Source organism: Homo sapiens, chromosome X, assembly GCF_000001405.40.
Source record: "Homo sapiens chromosome X, GRCh38.p14 Primary Assembly".
In the NCBI taxonomy this organism is placed as follows: Eukaryota; Metazoa; Chordata; class Mammalia; order Primates; family Hominidae; genus Homo; species Homo sapiens.
This window is the reverse complement of record NC_000023.11, coordinates 47,132,825-47,155,481: the sequence shown is the minus strand read 5'-3', so window position 1 is coordinate 47,155,481 and position 22,657 is coordinate 47,132,825. Positions and strand designations below refer to the sequence as shown.

General features: G+C 46.7%; 2 protein-coding genes across 14 annotated transcripts in view, besides 1 other annotated feature; one reads left to right on the top strand and one right to left on the bottom strand.

The window, feature by feature from the left end:
* Positions 1-10,261, bottom strand: part of RBM10 (RNA binding motif protein 10) — a 41,593-nt gene extending 31,332 nt beyond the window's left edge. For 6 of the 12 annotated variants that reach the window (NM_001204468.2, NM_001440861.1, XM_047442551.1 and 3 more), the window contains exons 1-2: positions 9,966-10,261; positions 7,984-8,125 (exon numbers count right to left, since the gene is read on the bottom strand). In NM_001204468.2, the coding sequence (NP_001191397.1) occupies positions 7,984-8,125; positions 9,966-10,035 (212 nt within the window). In that variant the 5' untranslated portion in view covers positions 10,036-10,261. The remainder of the gene's footprint in view (positions 1-7,983; positions 8,126-9,965) is intronic. The other 6 variants (NM_005676.5, NM_001204467.2, XM_047442552.1 and 3 more) reach the window with 1 other exon arrangement.
* Positions 9,968-10,237: an enhancer, noted in NCBI's record as "active region_29582". NCBI's record gives its function as "activates an Ori minimal core promoter by ATAC-STARR-seq in GM12878 lymphoblastoid cells {active_cell/tissue: GM12878}" and the evidence as "EXISTENCE:reporter gene assay evidence [ECO:0000049][PMID:35858748]".
* On the top strand, positions 9,991-13,266 carry NDUFB11 (NADH:ubiquinone oxidoreductase subunit B11). 2 transcript variants are annotated; one of them, NM_019056.7, is made up of 3 exons: positions 9,991-11,009; positions 12,738-12,898; positions 13,042-13,266. In NM_019056.7, the coding sequence occupies exons 1-3, from the start codon at positions 10,803-10,805 to the stop codon at positions 13,163-13,165; spliced, it is 492 nt and encodes a 163-aa protein (NP_061929.2). In that variant the 5' UTR covers positions 9,991-10,802; the 3' UTR covers positions 13,166-13,266. The 2 variants fall into 2 exon arrangements, with proteins under 2 accessions (NP_061929.2, NP_001129470.1); NM_001135998.3 differs by having other exon boundaries at positions 10,780-11,009; positions 12,738-12,868.

Here is a 22,657-nt window from a genome sequence, read left to right as displayed (position 1 = left end):
GGATTACAGGCATGAGCCACCGCACCAGGCCCATTGTAAAATTCTTTAAACTTTGCTACATGCTTGAAATTTCACACTAAACTATGGAAAACACCATAAAGATAAGTAACAAATGGGGCAAATATCCATTAAACATGTTTTCAAACATTTTGGTTGACTTCCATTTTTTTAAACAATTATTTGTTCATGCATTCATTCAACAAATATTAACCTAACATTGGCTATACGATAAGTACTGTTCTAGGTAATGGGGATACTGCTGTGAACAAAATAAAGTCCCTGTCCCCACGAACTCAGCTTGGAACCCAAACTCTTTTTTTTTTTTTTTTTTTTTTGAGAGGGAGTCTCGCACTGTCCTCCGGGCTGGAGTGCAGTGGCGTGATCTTGGCTCACTGCAACTTCCACCTCCTGGGTTCAAGCGATTGTCCTTCCTCAGCCTCCCGAGTAGCTGGGATTACAGGTGCCTGCCACCACACCCAGCTAATTTTTTGTATTTTTAGTAGAGATGGGGTTTCATCATGTTGGCCAGGCTGGTCCCAAACTCCTGACCTCGTGATTCACCCGCCTCGGCCTCCCAAAGTGCTGGGATTACAGGCGTGAGCCACCACACCTGGCCCCAAATTGTTTCCCTACCGTAAATGCCTAGAGAAGAAATCACTGTCAGTGGTATGAGTAGTTATAAGGTTCTTGATACAATCAATTTGAACTGTAGTCATCAAAATTCAAGAACTGGGCCATCATGGTGGCTCACACCTGTAATCCCAGCACTTTCGGAGGCTGAAGCGAGTGGATCACCTGAGGTACGGAGTTCGAGACCAGTCTGGCAAACATGGTGAAACCCCGTCTCTACTAAAATACAAAAATTAGCCGGGTGTGGTGGCACGGGCCTGTAATCCTTGCTACTCAGGAAGCTGAGGCACAAGAATCCCCTGAGCCTGGAAAGCAGAGGTTGCGGTGAGCCAAGATCGCACCACTGAACTCCAGCCTGGAAGACAGAGTGAGACTATCTCCACAAACAAAAACAAACAAACAAACAAACAAAAAAAAAAGGAAAAAAAATCAAGAACTGAACAGATATGAATAAATTTATAAATTTTCAGATGAAATTATCCTGAACTCTCTTGACATCCAATATCCAAACCAAATAAATTCAGGTATTGAACTCTTGCTATCTAAACTCAGGAAGGGAACATATTTGGATAGAAAGGAATATTTTTAATTGGCCACCAAAGCACTCTGAACAAACACCTTCCAAAGGCATATCCCTTTTATAAAGCATTTCTAGGATGCTGGACTGAATCATCATATATGAGGATCTTCACAAAATGAGTATATTTCTAGAAAATATAAAATGCTAAAATTGGCAGAAGAGATGAAATGGTAATCAAAAACCAGCTCCAGATGCTTTTATTTTATTATTTTTTGAGACAGGGTGTCACTCTGTCACTGAGGCTGGAGTGCAGTGGCATGATCATGGCTTACCACAGTCTCAACCTCCCAGACTCAGGTAATCCTCCTGCCTCAGCCTCCTGAGTAGTTAGAACTATAGGCACCTGCCACCACGCCCAGCTAATTTTTGTATTTTTTGTAGAGACAGAGTTTCGCCATGTTGCCCAGGATCGTCTCGAATTCCTGGGTTCAAGTGATCCAACTGCCTCAGCCCACTGCGCCCAGCCTCCAGATGCTTTTAAAGGTGAGTCCTACCAAGTTTTTCGAGGTACAGATAATTCTTATACAAGTTTCTCCAATAAAGAGAGAATAACAAAGGCTGCCCAATTCATGTAATGAGGCTACCTTGATTCCAATGCCAGATAAATACTGAAAATAAAAATATTGGACTACCTCACTGATAAATACAGGTGTAGATATCCTAGATGATACAATGGCTAATAAAATCTAACAAGGTTTTAAAAATATACATAAATCACTTAAATAACATTTCTGCCAAAAACTCATGAGTAAGCATCAGAAAAATCCAAACTGAGAAACATTCTATAAAACAACTAACTTTAAAACATGCTTTCAATATAATCCATAGGTTCAGGAAAAAAAAAAATGACAAGGTCATAAAAGACAAAGATAGAATAACTGTTTCAGATTAAAGGAGACAAGGAGCTCAATGCAATACATGATCTTGGACTGGATCCTGGATTGGGGAAAACCATTATAAAGGACATTATTGAGAAGAGTGATAACATCTGAATATGGGCTTTATATAGAATAAAAGTACTATATAATTGTTTAATTTCCTGATATTGATAAGTATATTGTGGTTATGGAAGAGAACACCTTTGTTCTTAAGACGTACATGCTGCCAGACTTAAAAGGTCATGTCAGGCTGGATGTGGTGGCTCATGCCTGTAATCCCAGCACTTTGGGAGGCCGAGATGGGCGGATCACCTGAGGTCGGGAGTTTGAAACCAGCCTGATCAACATGGAAAAATCCTGTCTCTACTAAAAATACAAAATTAGCTGGGTGTGGTGACGCATGCCTGTAATCCCAGCTACTTGGGAGACTGAGGCAGGAGAATCGCTTGAATGCAGGAGGAAGAGGTTGCAGTGGGCCGAGATTGCACCATTGCACTCCAGCCTGGGCAACAAGAGTGAAACTCTGACTCAAAAAGAAAAGTCATGGCTGCCACCAACTCAAACGATTAAAAAAAACGTGTGTGTGTGTGTGTGTGTGTGTGTGTGTGTGTGTGTGTGTCTATGTAAAGATATAGAGCTATAGGGTGGGCCAGGCGCGGTAGCTCACGCCTGTAATTCCAGCACTTTGGGAAGCTGAGGCAGGTGGATCACCTGAGGTCAGGAGTTTGAGACCAACCTGACCAACATGGTGAAACCTCGTTTCTAATAAAAATACAAAAATTAGCCAGGCGTACTGGCAGGCGCGTGTAATCCCAGCTACTTGGAAGGCTGAGGCAGGAGAATTGCTTGAACACAGGAGGCGGAGGTTGCAGTGAGCCAAGATCACGCCATTGCACTCCAGCCTGGGTGACAGAGTGATTCCGTCTCAAAAAAAAAAAAAAAAAAAAAAAAAGATATAGAGTGATAGAGCAAATGTGGCAAAATACTTAAAACAAGTAATTCTGAGTAGAGGATATATGGGAATTCATTATACTTTTTCTTGCAACCTTTCTGTAAATTTGAGATATTTTCAAAGTAAGAAGTCATAAACATATACATACATACCATGATCAAGTGGGGTATAGCTCAAGAATGCCAAGGATATCATTTAATGCAATTTACAAAATTTTTATTTATTTTTTTGATATGGAGTCTCACTCTGTTGCCCAGGATGGAGTGCAGTGGCACGATCTCAGCTTATTGCAACCTCCACCTCCCAGGTTCAAGCGATTCTCATGTCTCAGTCTCCCCAGTAGCTGGGATTACAGACATGCTTCACCACGCCTGGCTGATTTTTTTATTTTTAGTAGAAATGAGGTTTCACCATGTTGGCCAGGCTGGTCTTGAACTCCTGGCCTCAAGCGATCCAACCACCTTGGCCTCCCAAGGTGCTGTGATCCACCATGCCAGGCCACAATTTATGAAATTAATGGACAAAGGGAGAAAAAAAGCACAGGATTTTGAAGTTCAATACTTATTTATGGTCAATCTTAGCAAACGAAGATTAGATAATTTTCTTGATTTATTAAAGGATACATTCTAAAAACTTACTGCATGCACCATACTTAATGGAGAAACTTTAGACACATTCCCTTTTATTCCTCTCCCTTCTTCCTACTGTCTCAACTGCCATGTGCTGAGGATGGCTACACAGAAGGGGCTGCCTGTCAGCCCTAGATTAATTGCTCTTCTGCAGACTGCCTTTATGGGAAAGAAAAGTAAACTATCTTGTCTAAGCCATTATCCTTTGGACTTTCTGCCACAACCAGCCAAAGTAAATCTTAATTTGTGTACCCAGTATCACTTATACTATTTAATATGGTACTAAAAGTCCTGGACAATACTATAAATGAAGAAAAATAAATAAGTGACAGGATAGATTTGCATACAATATGACCAACTACTTAGAAAGAACATCAGAATCAACAATGAAGTATTAGAAATAATAAGGGCATACAGCAGGGGTAACTTACAGAAATCAACAGCTTTCCTCTACCCCAGCAAATACCAGCATGAAAAATATTTTTTAAAAAATAAGATAATGGCCTGTAATCCCAGAACTTTGGGAGGCCAAGGTGGGTGGATTGCTGGAGCTCAGGAGTTCAAGATCAGCCTGGACAACATGGTGAAACTCCGTCTCTACAAAAAATTAGCTGGGCGTGGTGGTGCGTGCCTGTAGTCCTAGCTACTTGGAAGGCTGAGGTAGGAAGATCACTTGAGCCTGTGGAGGTCGCCACTGCACTCCAGCCTGGGTGACAGAGCAAGACCAAGTCTCGAGAAAAAAAAAAAAAGATAATGAAAGTGACTGAAGTACCTAGGGATTACTTTAACAAAGAATACATAAGACCTGTATTTCCATTTATGAAAATGAAAGCTTTTTATGCTCTTTACATAAATTTCAAAATATTCTCTACAAAGGTCTTAGATGAAATGACTACTTACAAAGATAATTTTCCCCAAATTAATAGAGAAGTTCAGTGTAACATCGATCAAAATTCTTGTTGTTTTTGAGGGACTTTGATAACTTTTGATATATAATAAAGCCCCATAAATGATTAAACCAGCTTTGAAAAATAAGTGCAAAGGAGCTACTAAGACATTCTATAAAGCCATAATAATAAAAACAGTAAGGTGCTGGCACAAGAATGTGCAAATAGACCAATGGAACAAATCACATCACTCAAGACGGATCCATGTACATGAGGGAACCTGAAATCAGATGAGGTACCACAGATCAATAAAGAAAGAATGGACTATTTAGGAGGTGGTACTGGAAAAACTGCCTACTATATGGAAGAAAATAAAACCGGAGCCTACCGTATGCCATATTCAAGAGTGGAATCTAGATGGATTAAAGATCTGAATGCAAAAGGTAAAAACTACATTAGGCTGGGCGCAGTGGCTCACACCTGTAATCCTAGCATTTTGGGAGGCCAAGGCGGGTGGATCACCAGGTCAGGAGATCGAGACCATCCTGGCTAACACAGTGAAACCCCATCTCTACTAAAAATACAAAAAATTAGCCAGGTGTGGTGGCGGGCGCCTGTAGCACCAGCTACTCGGGAGGCTGAGGCAGGAGAATGGTGTGAACCCGGGAGGCGAAGTTTGCAGTGAGCCGAGATCGTGCCACTGCACTCCAGCATGGGTGACAGAGCGAGACTCATCTCAAAACAAACAAACAAACAAACAAAAAACACTATACATTAACAGATAAAGCAAAAAAGGTGACGTTGGGCTGGGCACGGTGGCTCACGCCTGTAATCCCAACACTTTGGGAGGCCGAGGCAGGCGGATCACCTGAGGTCAGGAGTTCGAGACCAGCCTGACCAACATGGAGAAACCCCATCTCTACTAAAAATACAAAAAATTAGCTGGGCGTGGTGGCGCATGCCTGTAATCCCAGCTACTTGGGAGGCTGAGGCAGGAGAATTGCTTGAACCTGGGAGGTGGAGGTTGTGGTGAGCCGAGATCGCGCCATTGTACTCCAGCCTGGGCAACAAGAGCGAAACTCCGTCTCAAAAAAAAAAAAAAAAAAAATGATGCTAGCACATCAAAATTAACAACAGGCATCTACTCTTGGGGGAAGTATTAAGTAAAACTCAGTAGACATGCCCCATGATGCCCTTGCCAGCAATTAGAAACAAAGTAGTAACATATACATGGCAATACAGACAGATGTTAAAAATACAGCACTGTGCCGGGTGTGGTGGCTCATGCCCATAATCCCAGCACTTTGGGAGGCCAAGATGGGAGGATCACCTGAAGTCGAGAGTTCGAGACCAGCCTGACCAGCATGGAGAAACCCCATCTCTACTAAAAATACAAAATTAGCCAGGCGTGGTGGCACATGCCTGAAATCCCAGCTATGTGGGAGGCTAAGGCAGGAGAATCGCTTGAAACCGGGAGGCAGAGGTTGTGGTCAGCCAAGACTGCGCCATTGCACTCCAGCCTGGGCAACAAGAGTGAAACTCTTTCTCAAAACAAAGAAACAAAACAAAACAAAACAAACAAACAAAAAAAAACAGCACTGTTGGCCAGTTACAGCGGCTCATGCCTTTAATCCCAGCACTTTGGGAGGCCAAGGGAGGAGAATTGCCTGAGCCCAGGAGTTTGAGACCAGCCTGGGCAACATAGAGACACCCTGTCTCAAAACAAAAAACAAAAAACAAAAAAAACCTCCCACTCTGAGTAATACAAAGTTCAGGAAACAAAACGAAGACTGTGGCACCATGCCATGTGTGTCAACTGAAAACACAGTCACTCAAAACAACACTTCATATTTTCATTTTCTATGAAAATGTATCTATATGATACATTTATGTATGTATTTATATGATACATGTATCTATATGATACATTTATATGAAAATGATCTATATGATAAATCTATGATACATTTTCTATGATATGTATCATAGAAGGATACATTTTCTATGATATGTATCATAGAAGGATACATTTTCTATGATATGTATCATAGAAGGATACATTTTCTATGATATGTATCATAGAAGGATACATTTTCTATGATATGTATCATAGAAGGATACATTTTCTATGATATGTATCATAGAAGGATACATTTTCTATGATATGTATCATAGAAGGATACATTTTCTATGATATGTATCATAGAAGGATACATTTTCTATGATATGTATCATAGAAGGATACATTTTCTATGATATGTATCATAGAAGGATACATTTTCTATGATATGTATCATAGAAGGATACATTTTCTATGATATGTATCATAGAAGGATACATATCAAACACGACAGAGCAGCTGCCCACAGAGGTGGGAATTGGGAATAAAAATGAAAAAATAAACATGACAAGAGGAAGCCTTTTGCTGACCTATGACAGAAACCTACCTTGAACTGGAAAGTATGATGAACTCAAACCTCTGCACTTGAGGGCTTTTAAAAGTCAATGGTTTTACTTGGTAATAAAGTTTGAACAAAGTATGTATGTCAGCTACTCAAATTCAGAAATGGCCACAGAGCACTTCTAGTGAATACCGTCCAAAATCAAATGTCTTTCAAAAAACATTTCTAATGAAAGCCAAGACTGAATAACACTAGGTGATGACCTTATCTCAAATTTGGGCTCACTTTTCAGAAAACAAAATATTACAATTCTACATTTTTAAAAGGAGTGGTGGTAGAAGAAACACTTCGTAAAACATTTTAAAAATTATTTTCTCTTTTTATAAAGCTATTGACTCTTGAGTCTTAATAGAGGCTTTCTGAGAGAGTTAGGTCTGCTTTTCTAGGCAATCTTCAAGTGTCATGGCTGGGTCACCTGCCTCGGAATCACCTGGATGGCGAGGGATCACTGAATTTTACTCAGGATTTCTGTATTTTACCCAGTGTTCCAGCTATTCCTTGTTCATAGCAGAGCTGAAGAAATAACTGTCTGAGAGTATCCATTCCCAGCAAGTATCATGCCAACTGTAGCCCATACTGTCCCTGGAGTCTTCCACTATCTGACCTGGCTTGTCCCCTAGTGGTCCCGGGCAAATCCTGACTCTGATGGTGCCATTCCCACCCATCCCTCATACCCCAGGCTATAGCCCCAACCTCAACCTCCCACCCGTTAACTGCATAGCGTCCCTGTGACACCCTGAGTACTGAGAAGGATGCAATCTCATGTCTCATTCATCACTGCACTATCAGAGCCTAGCACAGGTCCTGGCTCACAACAGGTGCCAAACACCTGTCTGCTGAAAAGAAACCCATCATCTGCTATGCTGTTTCCTCTACCCAGAAGCCCCATCCTAGCACCTTCTTGGATCAATTCTCACATAGACGCAAGCCTAGGCTGTCTGGGAAGCTGAGAACAGATAACTCACCGTCTTTCATACTCCATGTCCTGATAGGGCCTTCGGGGGCTGCTGGGGCCCCTCCTCAGCCGCTGGCTCCGTTTCACTTCCCAGCCACCCCCGCTGCTGCTACCATGATCTGCCAGCCTGGGTGATGCTTCCTGCAGGGACTCTGGGGAGAGTGGAGGGAAGAAAGGGGTCAAAACTGTTGGGACTGAGAGGGCCTCCTTGAGAAACTCTTATTGTCAAGGCTCTCCGCTGCCCCTTAGCCCAGGGACATTGTCTTCCAGCTCCCAGCACTCCTGTGCATCACAGTATGAAGGTAGCCCCTACTTGGCCTGCTCCTCCCTTTCCCCGCAAACATAAGGCTAGAGCCCACTGCCCTAGAAAACAGCAAGGACTTCAGCAGACAGGGGGCATCTTGCAGAGAGACCTGGCGGGGCCACCCACAGTGTGATCAGGGCTTTGCCACCTAAGACAGGTAGACAAATTCAAGCCTGGGGCTGCATCCCAGGGTGGGGGTAGGGGACTCTCAGGGCTGAAAGTCTTGCCTGAGATTCAGCACATCAGACAAGACTTCACAACAATGGGGGCCCCAGGCTCCTTCCACAGGCCCCAAGGGACCATCTCATCCTCCCAACAAGCTGCTGGCTGTCCCCTATAAGGCAGCAAAAGACCATGAAAGGCTCTTGGGGGGGTGTGTGAAGGGGCGAACTTGGCGACGAGACAGCTGCCACCTCCCTGGGCTCCTGGCCAACACAGCCTTGGCCCTCACACAGCAACTGGCTCAGCCCTGAGCCCTGTCTCTTATGTGCAGCCCGGTCCTAAGGTGGTTCCCTCCCCAGGGCTCAAGCCCGGTTTCCAGAGGCAAAAGGGGCCCTTTTGGAGGCTGTTCTGAACCACTGTGCTCTTCTATTGGGATGGAGCAGCAGCCACTTCATCCAACCCTCAGGGCTGTGGTGAGAACTCAGGGAGTCCTGAGAACCCTGTGACCCAGCCAGAGGTCAGGATGAATCCCAGATCTTCAGGCCCCACCCTCTGAATAAGAAGCAGGTAAAGCCAGGCAATAATAGCACCTGCTCAACACTAGGTTGCTGCCACACCTTTGCTCTATGCTCGTGCACACACATACACAGACAAACACACTCCAATTTTCTCTTCCTCCTCAAGCCACAGGGAACCCGAGTTACCTGCTCCCAGGTGGGCAAGAGTTAGAATCACACAGAGGCACTGGCGTCTGAGAGCACAAAAACCTTCAAGAGACTCTGGCAAAGGGGCCAGAGTCACACAGTAACATCCACCACAGCCAAGGGCCAGTCACAGACACGAGCCCCAAATAACTACGGGCCCACATCACAGAAGGAACACACAGTAAGGACCACAATTACACAGTGGGTCCCCTTTCCATGGATGAGCGTCAGTGTCACAGATACAAACTCCCCAAAAGAAGGGGCAATGAGTCACACACACATTCCCTGCATGCCCCTTCCCACCCAATAAGTGGGTTAGGGTCAATCAAAAGACAGTCGTCCCCCAAGCCCCGCCCCATGGATAAGGATCAGAGTCACAGACCGCCCCCCCTCAAAGGGTAAAGACCAGAGTCACATCCCCCCTCCGATCCCCCAGGAATAGAGACCAGAACCACAGAATATTTCCCCATGGACCGATAAACACCAGAGTAACACAGAGCAGCATCCCCTCTCCTATGCACAAACTCAAAGTCGCAGACAACCGCTTCCCCACTGATAAACTTCGATGTAGCCGACACAGTGATCCACAGTAGCCCACTCCCATCCGTCCCTCCCTTCCCCCAACCCGCATGCACCCATCCCATGTCCCAGTCGCGCACGCGCCTTTGCTCACACCAAAAAAAAAAAAAAAAAAAAAAAAAACCAAAAAAAAAAAAACCCTCCCGGGTTGAGACATTGCACCAACCCCTCCGTTCCGCGCATCTCCCCCGACCCGAAGTCCGCCCTCGCGCCTCCTCTACGTCCCCGCCCCGGGCCCCTTACCTCCGCCCCCACGACCAGCGTCGACGCTCACCTTCTCGGCCCGGGCTGTCAAGGAAGGGCTCCCAGACATCACCTCTGCCCGCCGCCACCTCCTCCAACTCTCCCAGCTCAGCCGGAGCCGGAGCGCGCAACAACCAAGTCCGAGACTGGAGGCAGATCGGGGGGAGGGGAGAAGCGCCAAGCGCGCTGCCCTCCCAGGGAAACTCACTGCCGCCTACTCCCAGCCGGCCACAGTCACCAGCTCAAAATGGCGACGACGAGAAGGGAGTCGGCGCTCCGACCACCATCCACCTACTAAGGAAGCGCGCTCTGGCCGGCCCCGGCGATTGGTCACCGCCCGCTAGGGGACAGCCCTGGCCTCCTCTGATTGGCAAGCGCTGGCCACCTCCCCACACCCCTTGCGAACGCTCCCCTAGTGGAGAAAAGGAGTAGCTATTAGCCAATTCGGCAGGGCCCGCTTTTTAGAAGCTTGATTTCCTTTGAAGATGAAAGACTAGCGGAAGCTCTGCCTCTTTCCCCAGTGGGCGAGGGAACTCGGGGCGATTGGCTGGGAACTGTATCCACCCAAATGTCACCGATTTCTTCCTATGCAGGAAATGAGCAGACCCATCAATAAGAAATTTCTCAGCCTGGCCGAAAATGGTTGGCCCCACGAAGCCACGACAACTGGAGGCAAAGAGGGTTGCTCAACGCCCCGCCTCATTGGAAAACCAAATCAGATCTGGGACCTATATAGCGTGGCGGAGGCGGGGCGATGATTGTCGCGCTCGCACCCACTGCAGCTGCGCACAGTCGCATTTCTTTCCCCGCCCCTGAGACCCTGCAGCACCATCTGTCATGGCGGCTGGGCTGTTTGGTTTGAGCGCTCGCCGTCTTTTGGCGGCAGCGGCGACGCGAGGGCTCCCGGCCGCCCGCGTCCGCTGGGAATCTAGCTTCTCCAGGACTGTGGTCGCCCCGTCCGCTGTGGCGGGAAAGCGGCCCCCAGAACCGACCACACCGTGGCAAGAGGACCCAGAACCCGAGGACGAAAACTTGTATGAGAAGGTGAGAGGCGGGGGGGGGGGGGGGGGTAGTGGGGACGGAACCCCGAAGGGGTCAGTCCGGGATCGGCAGATGGGGCGCTGTAGAGGACGTTCTTAGGCAGTAGAGGACTGCGCGGCCGGCGAAAGCCTAGAAGACTTGGGAATTTTGCCTACCTTGTGTTCCTCCTTTGTCTCTCGGTATCTTCGTTCCAGGGCCAGAGGCAGGATTGGTTTTATTTTGCAGACAGAAATCACACCTCAAGTGGACAGCGCTCAAAACACGTTAGAAGCAGTATAGTACAACGATAATACTAAACACCGATATGGCACTTGCTCGTTGCCGTCTGCATTCTTTTTTTTTTTTTTATAGGGACGAGATCTCGCTATGTTGCCCAGGCTGGTCTCGAACTCCTGGCTCAAGCGATCCTCTCGCCTCGGCCTCCCAAGGTGCTGGGATTACAGGCATGAGCCACCGCTCCGGGCCCCGTCTGTGTTCTAAACACTTGACATGCATTAGCTCATCTTATACTCGAAACAAACCCCATTTCGAGGTGGGCTCTATTATTATACTCATCCTACAGATGAGGAAACTGAGGCACAGAGATGTTAAGTGGATTGCCCTAGCTCACATAACTGAATACATGGTGGAGGTGGAACTGGTATTTGAATTTAGGGCTACCAGGTCTGCTGTGCTGTATTAATAGCAGACGCTGTGAAATCAGGCAGCACTGACGGTTACCCACCCGTGTGATCTTGGTAGCATAAACCCTTGGTGCCTCAGTTTCTTTGTCTGTAAGATGGGAACAGTAATAGGACACCTTCTAAAAAATAGGACACCCCACCTGCCTCATGTAATTAAATGAGTAAAAATGGTCAGAACAGCAGCTGGCACTTCGTAAGTATGTACTCAGCACTAGAATGTGTTTATTATTGCCATGTTTCACCTCACTGAGATATTGTGAGGTGTTTCTATGTGAAAAGACTGGCACATAATAAGTACTTCATCAATACTAACCTCTGGTTAAGGGGCTTGGATATATAGGATGCTTGTTCATTCTGTAAATATGTATTGAGGGCCTGCTGTATGCCAGGCTCAGTTCAGGGCCCTGGGGATACAGCAGTGTGGAAATCAGACAAAGCCCATGCTCTCATAGAGCTTACATGATAGTGGGGAAGACAGAAAATAAACAGTAAAATATTAGAAAACAATAATACAAAGTAGTATAATAGATAATATAACATGAGAATGTATGATATACAGAGAATGGGGAAAGTATGCTACTTAGGTAAACATAGACTAGAAAGAGACAGAAGGAAGAGAGGATGTGAAGACAAAGTTAAGCAAGATAAGTGGATAGAGAATGACTTGGGTGTAGGGGGCTATTTCATTAGCTTGAGCTATAAGAAATTGCCAGTATTCAACCATTTGTGACCTATAAAAATAGCAGTTTCCTATGCTTCAACTTTGAAAGACAAGGTAACTAGGGAGTGCCTCCTGAAGGAAGTGGTGATGAATCTAAAACCTTGAATGAGGAGACAGATCCAGCCATGACTAGAGCTGGAAGAAAGGCTTTCCAGGCAGAGAGAGCAGCAAGTGCAGTGGCCCTGCAGTGGGAAGGAGCTTGACATATCCCAAGAATGGAAACAGAGGAATTTAGTGAGAGGGGCACATGGAGACCAAGTTATGCAGGGCCAGAATAAGGCTTTGTGGAGCAGCAGGAAGCCCTCATTGACCTCTATTTCTCCACAGAACCCAGACTCCCATGGTTATGACAAGGACCCCGTTTTGGACGTCTGGAACATGCGACTTGTCTTCTTCTTTGGCGTCTCCATCATCCTGGTCCTTGGCAGCACCTTTGTGGCCTATCTGCCTGACTACAGGTGCACAGGGTGTCCAAGAGCGTGGGATGGGTAAGAGGCAGAGGCAGGGATGGAGGTTGAAGGGGATTCTGCCAGGAGTTTTGTTCCTGCACCATTGGGAATGGGGAGCTGAGATGAGGGATTGGTATCAGTTGAGGCTCCCTCACGTCTACCCCTGCTATTTGCACTACCAGGATGAAAGAGTGGTCCCGCCGCGAAGCTGAGAGGCTTGTGAAATACCGAGAGGCCAATGGCCTTCCCATCATGGAATCCAACTGCTTCGACCCCAGCAAGATCCAGCTGCCAGAGGATGAGTGACCAGTTGCTAAGTGGGGCTCAAGAAGCACCGCCTTCCCCACCCCCTGCCTGCCATTCTGACCTCTTCTCAGAGCACCTAATTAAAGGGGCTGAAAGTCTGACTCGCTAGTGTTGATTGTGTTGTGAAGGGGATATGGGATGGGGGTGTCAAAAGCTTTAAAAGGGCTGCTGCAACCTTCCCTGGGTGTTCTGGCTGTATATTGCTGTGTAGCAAACACCTAAAAACTTAGTGGCTTAAAACCACAATTCAGTCTTCTCTTTCATGGCCCTGTGGGTTGACTGGGCTCAGTAAGGTGGCTCTTCTAGGGGTCTCAGGTAGTTGTAGTTAGATGGTGGCTGGGACTGGAGTCATCTGAAGGCTCAACTGGGCTGGGTATCTAAGATGGCTTCTTCACTCACATGTCTGGCACTTCAGTCCTCTTCCATATGGCCTCTCTCCAGCAGAACAGCCTTGACTTTTTTTTTTTTTTTTTTTTTGAGATGGAGCCTTGCTCTGTCACCCAGGCTAGAGTGCAGTGGCACAATCTCTGCTCACTGCAATCTCCACCTCCCGGGTTCAAGCGATTCTCCTGCCTCAGCCTCCAGAGTAGCTGGGACTACAGGTGCCCGCCACCATACCTGGCTAATTTTTGTATTTTTAGTGGAGACAGGGTTTCACCATGTTGGCCAGGATGGTCTCAATCTCCTGACCTCGTGATCCGCCCGCCTCGGCCTCCCAAAGTGCTGGGATTAGCGGTGTGAGCCACCGTACCCAGCCTTTTTTTTTTTTTTTTTAAGAAGGAGTTTCACTCTTATCACCCAGGCTGGAATGCAGTGGCACCATCTCGGCTCACTGCAACCTCTGCCTCCGAGGTTCAAGCAATTCTCCTGCCTCAGCCTCCCGAGTAGCTGGGATTACAGGCGCCCGCCCCATGCCCAGCTAATTTTTCTATTTTTAGTAGAGATGGGGTTTCACCATGTTGGCCAGGCTGGTTTAGAACTCCTGACCGTAGGTCATCCACCTGCCTCGGTCTCCCAAAGTGCTGGGATTACAGGCATGAGCCACTGTGCCCAGCCTAACCTCAGCTTCTTACATGACGGCTTGGGGCTCCTCTGGATGACAGCGTGGCACATGGGAAGAAATTGTTGGCAGCTATCTTTAGAGCCAGACCACCTCACTGGGACCTCCTACGTTTGAAGAGAAGCCAGGGAGACCAGGGATTAAGGTGGAGGGTGAGTGCAGGGCTTTCTCTTTCTAAGGGTGGGTGTTTTGTCTCCCCTCCCTGTCCTCTCTGCTTCTCTCTGGGCTTTAGGGTTTGCCCCTGTCCTGTGTGTTGGTGAGTCTGGATGCCTGTATTCCCTTCTGCCCCAAATCTGGATGACCTCTAACTCAAGATATGCATCTGTGTGTGTGTATGTGTGTGCACGTGTGTCTGTTTCTCTCCTCACCCCCTTTCCTCTCTTTGTCTTTCTGTGTCTCGAAATCAAGAAGTCTTTTCTCCCTTACTTTCTTCCTCTGTGGAAATAGGCTGTCTCCTTGCACCAGGGTTGCTGTCTCTCAGTCTGGCAGATGGAGTAGGGGACTTGTTCTGGCCCTGGCTGAGTTTGTTTCTTTCAAAAGCATCTCTGTTAAGTGTGGGCTTCCCTTCACCCTCTTGGCATCTCTTCCTTCCACAGCTCCCACATTCAAATCACCACCTCATATATTCATTGCTACCATCTCTGTGCTTGTCCCTGCCTGGGGCTTTGGAGGGTGTGGGAGCCTCCAGCCACTGGCTACAGGAAGAAAATCTGGCTTGCCAAATTCACCACTAGAGGCAATGCCCTACTTCTAGCTACTGGGTCTCAGGAGAACCCAAATCCACTTACATGTGGCTGAGGCGGGAGCCATATCTGCATGAGCCTTCCTGCAAGTGAGGAAGACCCTGAGGGCTTCCCCTGCCCCAGTGCTGCTTTGTGGGGCCAGTCTCCCAACTCGAGTGTACCCCAAAGCAGAGAGTACTAATGTATAAAGGGAGCACTCTCTACCCTCCCCCTGCAGTTAGTGGGACTATGGAAGTGAAAGGGGCATGTTACCCCAGCCACCAAGTACCTGGGTATATTGGTGCAATAACCCCTATAATAAGCCTCAGCCTGGTGCCTAGAGAGCACATTCTCTCCACTCACCACCCACCAGGATGTAAATTCCAGAAGGGCAGGTATTCACATATGTTCTGTTCACTTAGAGCAGTGACTGGCATGGTATGTGCTTGATAAACATTTGGTATTGATACCTCCTGTGTAGGTGACATCCCATACCCATCCTTGCCTTCTGGCTTACCCCCCTGAGGATGAACACTTCTCATTCCCTTCTGCTCTGCCTCATCAAGCTCCAGGGCTCTCCAGAAGCCTCCATTCTGGTCAAACAGAAGGCTGCACTTAGACTTAATCCTAAAATCCGAGCCCTGGCCCCATTCTGACAATACTACCTTCCCCTCCCTCATCATGGCCCAGCCACACTGACTGACTCTTTATAAATCATTGAATTAAAATACACATGCAGAAAAGCTCACAAAGCTCATTTACTTTTTATAAATTGGGCACACCCATATAACCAGCACTCAGGTCAAGAAACATACTTTGAGAGGCAGAGGCAGACTGGTGTCTCAAGCTTGGGAGTTTGAGACTAGCCTGGGCAACATGGTGAAACCTCGTCTCTACAAAAAATACAAAAATTAGCGAGGCATGATGGTCCCAGCTAGTAAGGGTGCTGAGGTGGGAGGATCGCTTGAGCCTAGGAGGCAGAGGTTGCAGTGAGCCGAGATCGCACCGTGCCACTACACTCCAGCCTGGGCCACAGAGCGAGACCCTGTCTCAAAAACAAAAAGACAAACAAAAATCACAACATGGCAAACCCCAGAAGCTCCCTTCAGGTCTTCCCTCTTCCCCACCAAAGGTAGCCACTCTCCTGACTTCTAACAATGTTAGGTTACTTTGGTCTGGTTTTGTGTCCAGTTTCTTTCATTCTGTACAACGTTTGTGAGACTGATCAACATCGTCACATACATGAGTAGTTTGTTCATCCTCATTGCTGTATTCCATTTCATTGTATGAACAGACCAGACTTTAGCCATTCTTACGTTGCTGAGCATTTGAGTTGTTTTATATTTGGGGCTATTAAGAATTTTTTTTTCTTTTGAGACAGAGTCTTGCTCTGTCGCTCAGGCTGGAGTGCAGTGGTGCGATCTTGGCTCACTGCAACCTCCACCTCCCTGGGTTGGAGTGATTCTCATGCCTCAGCCTCCCGAGTAGCTGGGGTTATAGGCGTGACCCACCAGGCCCAGCTAATTTTTGTATTTTTAGTAGAGACAGTGTTTCACCAGGTTGGCCAGGCTGATCTCAAACCCCTGATCTTAAGTGATCCACCTACCTTGGCCTCCCAGAGTGCTGGGATTACAAGCATGAGCCACTGTGCCTGGCTAAGAATAATTCTGTGAACATTCTTGTACACATCTTTTGATAGACATATGTACTCATTTCTTGGGTATATAACCTAGGAATGGAATTGCTAAGTCATTGCGTAGACATGTGACCAATCAGCTTCAGTAAATCATGCCAATTTTCCAATCTACACTTTCCCAGAGTTGACTCCCCATCATTCGGCATTTCCCATCTTTTTCACTGCAGCCATTCTGGCGGATGACTAACCTTTTTTTTTTTCTTTTCTTGAGACAGGGTCTCACTCTGTTGCCCAGGCTGGAATGCAGTGGCATGATCTCGGCTCTCTGCAACCTCCTTCTCCCAGGTTCAAACGATTCTCCTGCCTCAGCCTCCTGAGTAGCTGGAACTACAGGCACCCACCACCACGCCCGGCTAATTTTGTTTGTATTTTTTTTTTAGTAGAGACAGGGTTTCACCATGTTGGCCAGGCTGGGGATGACTGACCTTTTAAGGACCACATTGGGATGAAGAGGGAGGGAGTGCCTACTGAGTGCCAAGCCCCAACAGTGTGCCAGGCACTGGCGGATATCAGGGTCCCTGCCCTTAGGAATTTCCCAGGATGAGGGCAGAGGCTGGTGTGAGTGATCAGAGACCTTAATACAATGTTTTCACCCTACTGTTCGACCCCAGGGACCTTTGAACTTTCATATTTTGGACGCAACTTTGTTCTGCCCACATAATAGATACTGGCCTCCTTTATCCTTCAATCTAATAGGACATCACCCAGAAAATAAAAATAGAACATCTTACCAGATTAACAGTGACTATTACCAATAAACATAAGCACCACAGAATAAACTGACAGCAGCCAAAACTGTGAACCTGAAACTGTGTTGAGGGAAAATTGATGGAAGTTTTTGATGTTCTCAACAAAATGTGGACCTGCAAATTTTGATCCTGAAATATTAGACTCAATGGAAACTGTCCACAAATAAAGCTCAGAATGACAGGAGGTATTCATTCAACAAATATTTATTGAAGTGCCTACAGGGTCCTAGGCACTGTTCCTGTTGTTTTGTTTTTATTTTTGTTTTGAGATAGGGTCTTGCTCTGTTGGTCAGGCTGGAGTGCAGTGGCATGACTATGGCTCACTGCAGCCTGGACCCTGGACTGAAGCGATCCTCCTGCCCAGGCACTGTTACAGGCAAAGGGGATACAGCAGGGAACAAAAGATTTAAAAATGCCCGCCCTCATGGAGCCTGTATTCCAGCTGGGAGAGACAGAAAATAAACAGCACAATTTGTGTGTTATATGTATGTAGGGAAGTGATAAGTATGGATTAAGTTAAAAATAAATCCAGAGGCTGGGTGTGGTGGCTCACGCCTGTAATCCCAGCACTTTGGGAGGCTGAGGTGGGCAGATCACTTGAGGCCAGGAGCCTGAGGCCAGCCTGGGCAACTGGGCTGGGCATGGTGTCACACGCCTGTAATTCCAGCTACTCGGAAGGCTGAGGTGGAGAATTGCTGGAGCACGGGAGGCAAAGGTTGCAGTGAGCTGAGATCGGGCCACTGCACTCCAGCCTGGGTGACCGAGCAAGACCCTATCCCAAAAATAAATAAATAAGTAAATCTGGTAAGGGGGGTGTCAGGGAGTTGGGGGGAGAGGAGAACCTGAATTTAAATAGGATAGTCAGCAAAGGTGATTACTTGAAGGAAAAAAATGTGAAGGAAGCCAGAGATGAACTACACAGATGCAAGAGCATTTCTGGCAGAAGGAACAATAAGTACCAAGTTCCAGAAGCAAGAATGTATGTGCCTGAGATGGTCAAGGAGCAGCCTGAGGCCAAGGAGCTATCTGAGGGAAGCTGTTACTGCTTGAATTTGACACAGATAAGAGAATCAATGTATGGATTGAATCATCGTTGCAAAAATTAACCAGAAAATGATCACGATGAAAATAACTTCAGAGAAATGAGACAGCCAAAATTGGTTTTGGGTTAACTGCACCACTGTATGGCATTGATCAAGGAATTAAATTGGCTCAGGAGAATTCACTCCGGTTCAAAGTTGCTCAGTAAAAATTCACCTGAGTTGAGTTGGTCTAATTCCAATTTTTTTTTAAATTTTTTTTTTTTTGAGACAGAGTCTTGCTCTGTCACCAGGCTGGAGTGCAGTGGTGGCACAATCTCGGCTCACCGCAATCTCTGTCTCCCGGGTTCAAGTGATTCTCCTGCCTCAGCCTCCCGAGTAGCTGGGACTACAGGTGCGTGCCACTACACCCAGCTAATTTTTGTATTTTTAGTAGAGACAGTTTCACTATGTTGGCCAGGATGGTCTCCATCTCTTGACTTTGTGATCTGCCTGCCTCGGCCTCCCAAAGTGTTGGAATTACAGGTGTGAGCCACCGCCCCGGCCTTTTTTTTTTTTTTTTTTTTTGAGATGGAGTATCGCTCTGTCGCCCTGGCTGGAGTACAGTGGCAAGATCTTGGCTCACTGCAACCTCCACCTCCCGAGTTCAAGCGATTCTTGTGCCTCAGCTGACAGAGTAGCTGGGACTACAGTCGTGCACTACCATGCCTGGCTAATTTTTTGTATTTTTAGTAGGGACAGGGTTTTACCATGTTGCCCAGGCTGGTCTCAAACTCCTGGGCTCAAGCAATCCACCCGCCTTGGCCTCCCAAAGTGCTGGGATTACAGGCATGAGCCACCACGACTGGCCTTAATTCCAATTAAATTAAATTAAATTAATTAATTAATTTTTGAGACAGAGTCTCACTCTGTCATCCCAGCTGGAGTACAGTGGTGCGATCTTGGCTCACTGCAACCTCTGCCTTCTTGGTCCAAGCGATTCTCGTGCTTCAGCCTCCCAAGTAGCTGGGACTACAGTTGAGCACCATCATGCTGGGCTAATTTTTGTAATTTTAGTAGAAACGGGGTTTCACCATGTTGGCCAGGCTGGTCTAAAACTCCTGACCTCAAGTGATCCACCAGCCTCAGCCTCCCAAAGAGCTGGGATTACAGGCGTGAGCCACCGCCCCTGGCCTGATTCCAATTTTAAATGTTAGTATTCGTAAGCAGAGCCAATACTTTAGAGGTCAAGTGCATGTGAGTCAGAGGGGTGAATCCAGGGCCAGTTGAAGGCGCAGGACCCAGGCAAAGCAGCTGGGAATCAACAACCATTACCTATACATAAGTGTGAAGAAGGATTCATTTGTTCATTCAATCATTTATTCATTCATCTCACAAATATTGATCAAGTGCCTACTATGTGACAGGGATACAGCAGTGAATAAAACAGGCAAAAATTCCTGCCCTCTTGGGGCTTCCTTCAAGAGGAAGGAAGCTTATTGATTTATTAAGCTTATTTATTATCTGTAGGGGACAGATAATAAATTTAAAGAATAATTAACAATTTGGAGTAAAGATAATAGCTAAATAAGTAAAATACAGGCTGGGGACCATGGCTCATGCCTGTAATCCCAGAACTTTGGGAGGCTGAGGGGTGCAGATCCCTTGAGCTCAGGAGTTCAAGACCAGCCTGGGCAACATGGCGAGACCCCCATTTCTACTAAAAATACAAAAAATTAGCTAAGCATGGTGGCATGTGCCTGTGGTCCCAGCTACTTGGGAGGCTGAGGTGGGAGGATCGCAGAGGTCTAGGCTGCAGTGAGCTGAGATTGTGCCACTGCACTCCAGCCTGGGTGACAGAGTGAGACCCTGCCTCAAAAAAAAAAAAAAGTAAAATATATAATATGATAGTGATATATGTTGAGGAGAAAAATGAAGCAGGGAAGAATATAGTATTTGTGTGTATGTGTTTGTATGTGCGCGCACACCTGTAGTCCTAGCTACTGAGGCAGGAGGATCCCTTGAGCCCAGGATGTCAAGGCTGCAGTCAGCTATGATCCCTGCCACTGTATTCCACCCTGGGCAACAGAGCAAGACCCCCATCTCTTAAAAAAAAATTAAATTTAAAAATGACGTTTGATGAAGATCTGAGGGAAGTGTCTAATTGAAGAGAGAACTTTGAAAGACGAGTAAAACTTTCAAGACAGTCTAACACAGGGGTTAGGGTAACGTCCCCTGGAGCCATACTGCCTTGGTTCAAATCCCAGCTTCCTCCATACTAAATGTGTGACCTCATACTCCTATTTTCCCCCTCTGTAAACTGGGGCTAATGATGTTAACTACCTCGTAAGGATATCGAGAGGATTAATCTGAGTGCTTACAATGTTGTTTGACACAGATTAGCTGTTTGTAAACATTGGCTGGCTGAATGAATTAATCTTCATATTAATACAGTAATCATGGAAGTTTTTAAATTAAAAAAAACTTCTTCAAAAATGAGATTGTGGGACAATGGTTTGGGGAATGTTCAAATTGTGGACCCCAAAATGGAAGGTGGTTTTGGAACCCTGGCAGTCACTACTTCGAAGTTTTGGCTCTGTTATTGAAAGTGGTGGGGCAGGATATGGTGGCTCATGCCTGTAATTCCAGCACTTGATAGGCCAAGGCGGATAGATTGATTGAGCTCAGGAGTTCGAGACCAGCCTGGGCAACATGGCAAAACCTCGTCTCTGAAAATTTAAAAAATTACCCAGGTGGTAGCGCACACCTGTGGTTCCAGCTACTTGGGAAGCTGAGGTGGAAGGATTGCTTGGGCCCGGGAATTCGAGGCTGCAGTGAGCCATGATTATGCCACTGTACTCCAGCCTGGGTGACAGAGTGAGACCCTGTCTCGAAAAAAAAAAAAAAAAGTGGTATATATTTACTTATTTAGCTATTATCATTACCCCAAATTATTATTTGTTCTTTTTTAAAAAGATTTTTTTGGTCCTGCATGGTGGCTTACACCTGTAATCCCAGTACTTTGGGAGGGCAAGGCGGGTGGATCACCTGAGATCGGGAGTTCAAGACCAGCCTGACCAATGTGGAGAAACACCATCTCTACAAAAAATAGAAAAAATTAGCCAGGCGTGGTGGCACATGCCTGTAATGCTAGCTACTTGGGAGGCTGAGGCAGGAGAATTGCTTGAATCCGGGAAGTGGAGGTTGTAGTGAGCCGAGATTGTGCCACTGCACTCCAGCCTGGGCAACAAGAGCGAAACTCTGTCTCAAAAAAAAAAAAAAAAAAATAGTCTCCATAGTCTTGTTATGTTCCCCAGGCTAGTCTGGAACTCCTGGGCTCAAGGAGTCTCCCCGCCTTGGCCTCCCAAAGTGTTGGGATTACAGGTGAGAGCCACTGTGCCCAGCCAGCCTTGTCTTTTTGTTTTCTTTCCAACTCCTTCACCTCCTTCAAGTCGTTGGTAAACATCACCTTCTTAAAGTGGACTTTCCTTATTTAAAATTCCAATCCCCTTTTATTACTCACTCTCCAAATGTTTTCCCTGCATATCACACACAAACTGCATTAGGCATGGTGTCCTTTTAGTTATAGTCATGGTACTGGGAAATTTTTTATTTTTTTTATTTTTGAGACAGGGTCTCACTCTGTCACCCAGGCTGGAGGGTAGTGGCACGATCTCAGCTCACTGCAACCTCGGCCTATGGGGTTCAAGTGATTCTCATGCCTCAGCCTCCAGAGCAGCTGGGATTACAGGTGTGTGCCACGACACCCAACTAATTTTTGTATTTTTAGTAGAAACCGGGTTTCACCATGCTGGTCAGGCTGGTCTGGAACTCCTGACCTCAAGCGATCCACCCACCTTGGCCTCCCAAAATGCTAGGATTACAGGTGTGAGCCACGGCACCCGGCCCCAGTCTACTTCTTTTTTTTTTTTGAGACGGAGTCTCGCTCTGTTGCCCGGGCTGGAGTGCAGTGGCGCAATCTAGGCTCACTGCAAGCTCCACCTCCTGGGTTCAAACCATTCTCCTGCCTCAGCCTCCTGAGTAGCTGGGACTGCAGGAGCCCGCCACCACGCCTGGCTAATTTCTTTTTGTATTTTTAGTAGAGACGGAGTTTCACCATGTTAGCCAGATGGTCTCTATCTCCTGACCTCGTGATCCGCCCTCCTCAGCCTCCCAAAGTGATGGGATTACAGGCGTGAGCCACCGCGCCAGGCCCCCAGTCTACTTTTTAGGTGTAAAGGTGTCA